Raw genomic sequence first — 8,768 nt, 5'->3', positions numbered from 1 at the left:
ACCAGTAGGCCTGGACTTCAAGAAATATTAAAAGAAATTCTTTACATAGAAGGAAAATCATACTAGATAGAAATTTGTGTCTAAGTAAAGAATGAAAGGGTTCTGGAAGTGGTAAACATGGGTAAGTATGAAGACTGATTTAAACAAAAAATTTAAATTCTTTAAAAAGATAATTGACATTAAATAACAACAGCAACATTTTGCAAAGTTATATAGAAGTAAATATATAACAATTGTAATAGATAGCATGAAGGGATAAATGGAATTATATTGCTATTAGGCTGTTATGTTGTATTCAAACCTAGACCCTAGAGAAACCATTAAAAAATAATAAAAGGCTTATAAGCCAATAATGGATGTAAAATAAAACAATTAGAAGCTGAATACTTTATTTTTAAAAAAAAGCACCATTTGTAGTATTATTCCCAAATCTAAAATTGTTAGGAAAAAAATTCAGCAAAACATGTATAAAAACTATATGAAAACTACAAAATGCTGCTGAAATGTTAAAAGACCTAAATAAATCAATAAATATACACTATACTTGTATTAGTTTGTCCTCACACTGCTATAAACAACTACCTGAGACTGGATAATTTATGAAAAAAACAGGTTTAATTGGCTCACGGTTCTGTGGGCTGCATAGGAAGCATAATGTTGGCATCTGCTCAGCTTCTGGGGAGCCCTCAGGAAAGCTATAATCATAGCAGAAGGCAAAGGTAGGAGCCAGCACTTCACATGGCTGGAGCAGGAGGAAGAGAGAGTGTGGGGAGTGGGAGTGCTACACACTTTTATGCAACCAGATCTTGCAAGAACTCACTATCACGAGAACAGTACCAAGAGGGAAACCTGCCCCCATGATCCAATCACCTCCCACCAGACCCCACCTTTAACACTGGGGATTACAATTTGACATGAGATTTGGGTGGGGATACAGATCCAAACCATATCAATGCTCATAGATTGGAAGATAGTATTTTGTTAATACATCAGTTCTCCCGAAATTGATCTGTAAACTCAGTGCAATTCCAATCGAAATCCCAGCAAGCTTGCGTTTGAGATAATTGACAAGCTTATTCTAAAGTTTATGTGGAAATGCAAAGAATCTAGACTAGCCAAAAGAATTTTATGAAATAAAACATACTTAGGGAACTTATATTACTTAATTTAAGTCCTTAACTGTGTTTTTGAATGTTATACCTTTATAGTACTAGTGTAAAGATAGACATACATGGATCAATGAAAATAATATATGATACAGAAATGACCCACATGTATGTGGTCAGTTGATACAAATGAAAACTTCTGGTTTTTAAAAGGCTTAATTGAGAACATGAAAAGTCAGGCCACAGGCTGGGAGAAAATATTTCCAGTCCATATATCTGACGTAGGACTTGTTTCCAGAGTATAGAAGAACTCTTACAACTCAGTAGGAAGAAGACAAGCTATTCATGTAAAGAATGGGTAAAAAGTTGGAGCAGATGCTTCACAAAAGAAAATATATGAATGACCAAGAAGCATAAAAAAAGCTGCTCAACACTATTAGTCATCAAGAAATTTCAAATTAAAACCACAATGAGATACTATTACCTAGTTACTAGAATGCTAACATTGAAAAGATTGACAGTATCAAGTGTTGGCAAAGATATGGAGCAAGTTAAACTTTTATACATTGCTCATGAAAATGTAAAATAGCTTTACCTCTTTGGCAAACTGTCTGGTTGTTTCACTTTTTTATTTTATTTTATTTTATTTTATTTTATTTTATTTTATATTTTATTTTATTTTATTTTATTTTATTGTATTTTATTGTATTTTATTTTATTGTATTTTATTGTATTGTATTGTATTGTATTGTATTGTATTGTATTGTATTGTATTGTATTGTATTGTATTTTATTTTATATTTTATTTTATTTTATTTTTGAGATGGAGTCTTGCTCTGTTGCCCAGGCTGGACTGCAGTGGCATGATCTCAGCTCACTGCAACCTCCACCTCCCGGGTTCAAGCAATTCTCCTGCCTCAGCACTCCCGACTAGCTGGGATTACAGGCGCGCACCACTCTATGCCTGGCTAATTTTTGAATTTTTAGTAGAGACAGGGTTTCACCGTCTTGGCCAGCCTGATCTCAAACTCCTGACCTCAGGTTATCTGCCTGCCTTGGCCTCCCAAAGTGCTGGGATTACAGGCATGAGCCACTGTGCCTGGCCTGTTTCACATAAAGTTAAATATATACTTTATTGTACAATCTCACAGTTTTATTCCTAGATACTAATTCAGAAGAAATGAAAACATTATATCCACACAAAGACTGTTCCAACAATGTCTCTAGCAGCTTTATTAATAGTGTCCATGAACTGGGACAACCTAAATGTTCATCAGCAGGTGAATGAATGAATAAATTGTGGTATATCCATACAATAGTATTCTCTTGAGCAGTAAAAAGAAATGATTGACATCTCAGAAACATGCTAAGGGAAAGAAGTCAGGAAGAGTACATACCGTCTGATTCCAATTTTATAAATCTGTCTAAAGACAAATTAATCCATAGTGACAGAAAAAATCAGTAGTTGTCTGGGGTCAGCAGTTGGGGTAGATTTCCCGAGAAAGGGGCACAGAAAACTTTTTGGATTGACAAAAATGTTCTTTATTGTGATGGTTGTGGTTGTATTTACATGAGTATATACATTTCTCAAAACTCATCAGAAAGTATGCTTCAAGTGGGTACGTTTTTTGATATATAAATCACACACCAGTAAATTTGATTAAAAAAACAAAGTTTTGAGTGCTTGTCAAATGTAAAATAATTCTATATTCGTTTCATATATCTTTATATGTGTTCATGATGTCTTTGTGTTCTGAATTTGCTGTTATATTGCAAGTTAATTGACAGATAATTTAGATTTCAGTAAAATTTTGAATCTGGATATTATGTATTTTCGGGTCTTGGTTATTTTATCACTCTGTCAGCCTTCTTTAGTAACTCTTGTGCATCACCTGTAGGATAGTAGCAGAAGTCCCCAGTCTTTTTTTTTTTTTTGAGGTGGAGCCTCACTCTGTTGCCCAGGCGGCTGGAGTGCAGTAGCACGATCTTGTCTCATTGCAATCTCCACTTTCCAGGTTCAAGTGATTCTTGTCCCTCAGCCTCCTGAGGAGCTGGGGCTACAGGTGTGCGCCACCATGCCTGGCTGATTTTTTGTATTTTTAGTAGAGATGGGGTTTTGCCATGTTGCCCAGGCTGATCTTGAACTCCTGGGCTCAGGCGATCTTCCTGCCTTGGCCTCCCAAAGTGCTGGGATTACAGGCCTGAGCCACCATGCTCAACCTTGAGTGGCTTTTAAATTCAGAAGTCTTACCTTAGAGTATTCATGATTCTTTTTAACAAAAATCTGGTTTACTCTTCTACCCAACCCCCAAGAAATTTTGGTGCTTAATAGAGATGGTATAGTGAGTATAGTGGTTAAGAGTGTAGATTTTGAAGTCAGATTACCTCCATTCAAATCCCAACTTTATCATTTCTATCTGCATAAACTTTGGGTAGTTATTTTTTGTCAATTTCTACCTCATAGGTCAAATGGTGATACATATCTTATAGAATTTTGGAGGATTAAAGAGCAAAGTCCATGTAAAAGCATGCTACCTAGCACCTAATAAGCACCAAGTGAATGTACTTTAGATATAATATTTTAGGATTTTATATGTTCTTGGTATATTTCCTGTAGTAGTAATATATATTTTTGTAAATTATTTTGTTCAAGTGGCTTTTTCTAGAATTATTACAAACTAGGTTATACCTTCTCAAGAGTCACGGTGTTAGTCCCAACTTTGACATCTTGGCTTTTAAAGTTTCAGCCACTAGATGGTGATATTTGACTGTCTAGCTAACTGGTCTGATTTTTCTGTTAGAATCAGTTGTATGTGTATGAAGCAGGAATATAAATTAGAATTTACCATGCATTTTGTTCTTGTCTAGGAAAGTATACCTACTAATGTAAATTTGAGGGTGATCTTGCTGTGTGACCCACATTCTGCAGATTACTCACATCAGTATATTTAATGACAGTGGTTTTGCCTCATGCTCTGTGGAAAAACATAGATACAGTCAGTGTAGAATGACTTTATTTTCTCACCAGCACATCTTCCAACCTTACTGTATTTGTGCCTATATGATCTGTCATCATTCCATTGTAATTATCAAAGGCCCACCACTCCACTTGTACTCTAGACCCCATCCCCTTGTGCCTTCTCAGGAACGTTGTTCTGAAATTGTCCTCTCATTTTTATATAATCTGTTTCTTCTTTTCTCTCGGTCCTTCTTGCTGGCATGCAAACATACCCTGATAACATCCATTTAAAAAGCTTCTCTCCAAATGCTCTGCCATTTCTCTGCTCCCACTGCACTACAAACTCCATTTCTTGATGAACCATCCAGTCATATTTCTGTCCCCATGAATCCACTGAAACTGCTTTTGTAAAGGTTATCAGTGACCTCCATGTTGTCAAATCCAGTCATCACTTCTCTGTTGTCATTTATTGTGCTTCTCATCATTCAGCACAGGTGACCACAGTCTTCCTAAATACACTGCTCTCTCATCTTCCACACCACCATGCTATCATGCTTGTCCTTGTCTCCATGTCCTCTCCTTTTTAATCTTTGCTTGCTCCTTTCCTTTTGCTCTCCAGATCAACAATCATCTGTGTTTGTGGAGCTGTTGCCAGCTTAACATAGACCTTGTATTTATTCTTCTTTCTTCATGGCTTACTTCTGTTTTTCCCTCACTCTTGATTGCGTGGGATCCTATCCACTCAATAAAGATTTAGCCAGTAAGCTTTGGCCTCAGGCTCTGTTTTCCAGGTAACCCAAATTATCCTGGATTTCTTTCTTTTTTTCACTCATACCAAGTCCAAGTTGAGCCAACTGTACATTTTCAGTGTGTTGTAAATCTTTTTTCCTCTTTCTGTTTTCACTTCTATCCTTATCTAGGGTTATCTCATACCTAAATTACTTTGGTTGTCTCATATCTAGCCTTCCTGTGTACATTTTTGTACCCTTACTGTCTATTCTTCTGGGTCTGACTGATCTTTTAAAAATGTAAATCAATAATTCATGTCTCACTGTTGTATAAAAACTCTGTGGATTCTTCATCACACATACAATTAAATCCACATGCATAACTATGGCTTATTGTATTCTCTGTGATCATGGCTTCGGCCCACCTCCCTGACCTCTGACTTCCTTTCCTCTGGTTTTATTTCCTTTCCACAAAACATGGTTTGGTCCTGCCCCAGGTTCTTCCCTTTGCCTGGAATGGACCTTCTCCAGATTTTCAGTTGTCTGACCACGTTTTGTCACTCAGGTCTCAGCTTGAATGCGTTCCTAGGAAGACCTTTCTTGACCGCCCATTCCGAATAGCCACTTGGTCACTCCCTATCACATTCCTCCATTTGTCTTTTATCACGGCACTTATATTTTAACTGTTTGTTATCTTTCTTTCCCTGTCCCCTTCTAACATGCATACACTTTAGAAAGTAAGATCTGGAAGAATAGTAGGGACCTTTTATATCTTGTTGGGTGCTGCATCCTTAGTACTTATTACTAGAATTCTACCTGTCCCAGGGTAGGTGCCCAGTAAATATTTATAAAGTGAATAAGCTGTTAACTATATAGCTCATTAAATTTAAAGCCACAGTAAATTAGAAGTCTAATTGGGAGTAAAGTAGCTAAACACATTGACATTTCTATTTGGTAAATGAGTGTGCTATCTAACTTATTTAGCTTGATCACCAGCTGTTCTTTACCTCAGTATAGGGCATTATCTCATCCTGCCCTGTTGTAGTCCATGGAACTATTCCCTTTGCTTCCTTCCTTGTGCTACTTCAGTTGCATACTGTTAAGATTGTCCTTAAACTGGCGGAATCAGACTTTGGTCATTTATTAACCACAGTGACTTTAAACCAAGTTTTTATCTTTTAATGCTTCCTATCCAACAGCTGCAGTAGGGCTGTGTCTGTTCAGTCTGTTCCAAACTGAAGTTGAATTAAGAGATATGCTGCAGAAATTATGAGAGACTATTGATTTGTTCAGTGCCAAGTTTCCTGTGATCTAAAAATGGAGGAACTAAGTGGTGCCACCCTTTGTTTGCAGGCCAACAGAAGTAAACCAAAGAGAAATGAGAAGGGGGAAGAATTGAATAAGTTGATGATAGTGAAGTAAATACCCACCATTTCTTGCTTTGTTTAGCATGGAAAACAGCTCACTTGTTCCTTTAAACCTTTATAGGCCTCGTTGGCAACAAAGCACATTTCATTGAGGGATGCCTCTGCTGGCAGCAATGGTTATGCTTTCAAAATAAAAGACAGTGCAGTTGAGAAGAGAGGACATTTTTCTTTTTTCTCAAATCTGTAAGCCTGTGTTTACACGTGTGTGTGTGTATGTCTGTTTGTATGTATATGCACACATGCATACCTGCCTAATAAAAAGAAAAAACTAGTGATGGTCATTGTCACCTTGAACCTCTTAGTTTATTTCGTACTTGGGACAACTTAAGCTTAGGAACATAAGCAGCTTTGTGGGGTTGGGGACGGGATAAGCCATCCTGTTCTCAGCAGTAGTGCTAGTGGTATTTTCAGCAAGACAGCTCTTTATTGTGCAGGCTTGCTCTTTGCCTTGAAGAATGTTAACATCCCTGACCCTCTGCCACTAGTTCCTCCAAGTCACAGTGATGACCACAAATGCCTTCTATGGGGTGATAACTTCCTCTGGTTGAGTTGGGCAGAAAATAGGACTGGAAGTAAAAAGTAAATTTGACAAATATGATAAGCTTTTAACAGTGGTTGGGCCAAGTAGATCTAGGGTTGGCAAACTTTATTTATAAAAACAACCTGTTTTTATAAATAAAGTTTTACTGGGACACAGCAATGCCCATTTTTTGAATGCATTGTTTATGGCTTATTTTGGGATACAGTAATAGAGTTGAATAGTTGTGATAGACTGTATGGTTCACAAAACCTAAAATGTTTACTATATGGACCTTTACTATGCCACCCCTTGCTCTAGAGACCAAAGACCTTCAGCCCCTTCCTCAAAAGCTGTCAAAGACTCCTGAAACCTCAAACATCCAGGTTCTTAAGGTCCCTCTGCTAAACGTAGAATTCTCATGTTTTTGTTTTTTTCTACCTATATTCACATTCCCCTAGTCTTGGGATTTCTTATAATTTCTATATATGAAATAATGAACGGAACAAAGTAAGAATTTACATTTTTACCACTTTTGTCTTAGGATAGAATTTGTTTTTATTACCATTTTTTTTTCCTGTGTGTTAAGAGCATGCTACATCTGTCCCCTCTTTTCTTGCTTTATATGCTGCTCTCTGCTGCCTTCAGGACTTGGAGAAGGTAGGACAAATGAGGTAGATAGAATCTGTTATATTAGGCCGGGCGCGGTGGCTCATGCCTATAATCCCAGCACTTTGGGAGGCCGAGGCGGGCAGATCAGTTGAGGTCAAGAGTTCAAGACCAGCCTGGCCAACATGGTGAAACCCCATCTCTACGAAAAAACAAAAATTAGCCAGGTGTGGTGGCATGTGCCTGTAGTCCCAGCCACTCGGGGGGCTGAGGCAGGAGAATCGCTTGAACCTGGGAGGTGGAGGTTGCAGTGAGCTGAGATCATGCCACTGTACTCCATGTACTCCAGCCTGGGTGACAGAGCAAGACTGTCTAAAAAAAAATCTGTTATATTAGTACCTTCTACATTCCCAGAAATGTTCTGGGTACTGTAGAGCATATAAACAAATCTACCCTTTGGTTCCTGAACTCATTAGAGAAGAGAAGACAAAAATACAAGGAGGAATTAGAGCAGAACTAAATGGGAGGCATACTTGATATAGTTACAGAAAGTATTGGTCTTGTATTTTTAAGAGCTAGCTTTAAATCCTGTCTTTTGCAGGACTTGGACAGTCCTTTAGCTGCTCTCAACCATTGGTTCCTCATCAATAAAGTGAGAACAAGTAATGCCAAACTTGAGGCTAGGCATGGTGGCTCACCCCTGTAATCTCAGCACTTGTGGAGGCCAAGGCAGGAGGATTGCTTGAGGCCAGAAGTTTGAGACCAGCCTGAGCAACATAGTGAGACCCTGTCTCTACAAAAATAAAAAAATAAAAAAATTAGCTGGCCATAGTGGCATATGCCTGTAGTCCTAGCTACTCAGTAGGCTGAGGTGGGAGGCCCTTGAGCCCAAGAGTTCAAGGCTGCAATGAGCTGTGATCATGCCAGTGCAACGGAGCAAGACTCTGTCTCTCAAAATAATTTTTAAAAAAGCAAATAACACCAAATTTATATTCACTTACTTTGAGTAGTAAGTGAATTAACTTTTTGGGAAAATAATTGTATGTTAAATAATTGTATTGAAAGTGCTTTGTAAAACATAAAATGCTTTGGAAATATAAGTGTTGCTATGTGGTCTGAAGTGGTACTCATAGTTAGTGGGCTAGAGCCACTGGAGGAGGTCTTCATGAAGAACGGAGCATTTTAACTTGGTCTTAGAGGAGGAGCCTTTGAATAGATGAAGAGGAGTAGGAAGGCAATCTTAGATATGTGATATGGTTTGGCTCTGTGTCCCCACCCAAATCTCACCTTGAATTGTAATAATCCCCGTGTCAAGGATGGGACCAGGTGGAGATAATTGAATTATGGCGGCAGTTTCTGCCATGCTGGTCTCATGACACTGAGTTCTCACGAGATCTTATGGATTTATAAGGGGCTTCCCTG

General features: G+C 38.0%; 2 protein-coding genes across 3 annotated transcripts in view; one reads left to right on the top strand and one right to left on the bottom strand.

Moving 5' to 3' along the window:
- PTGER4 (prostaglandin E receptor 4) overlaps positions 1 to 8,768 on the bottom strand; it is a 66,886-nt gene that overhangs the window by 6,460 nt on the left and 51,658 nt on the right. The window lies entirely within an intron of this gene.
- The window catches only part of TTC33 (tetratricopeptide repeat domain 33), a 44,386-nt gene that overhangs the window by 15,621 nt on the left and 19,997 nt on the right, over positions 1 to 8,768 (top strand). The gene's annotated exons all lie outside the window — the stretch shown is intronic.

Source organism: Homo sapiens, chromosome 5 (genome assembly GCF_000001405.40).
Source record: "Homo sapiens chromosome 5, GRCh38.p14 Primary Assembly".
In the NCBI taxonomy this organism is placed as follows: domain Eukaryota; kingdom Metazoa; phylum Chordata; class Mammalia; order Primates; family Hominidae; genus Homo; species Homo sapiens.
Note: the sequence above shows the minus strand (reverse complement) of the source record. Positions and strands in the feature narration are given on the sequence as shown.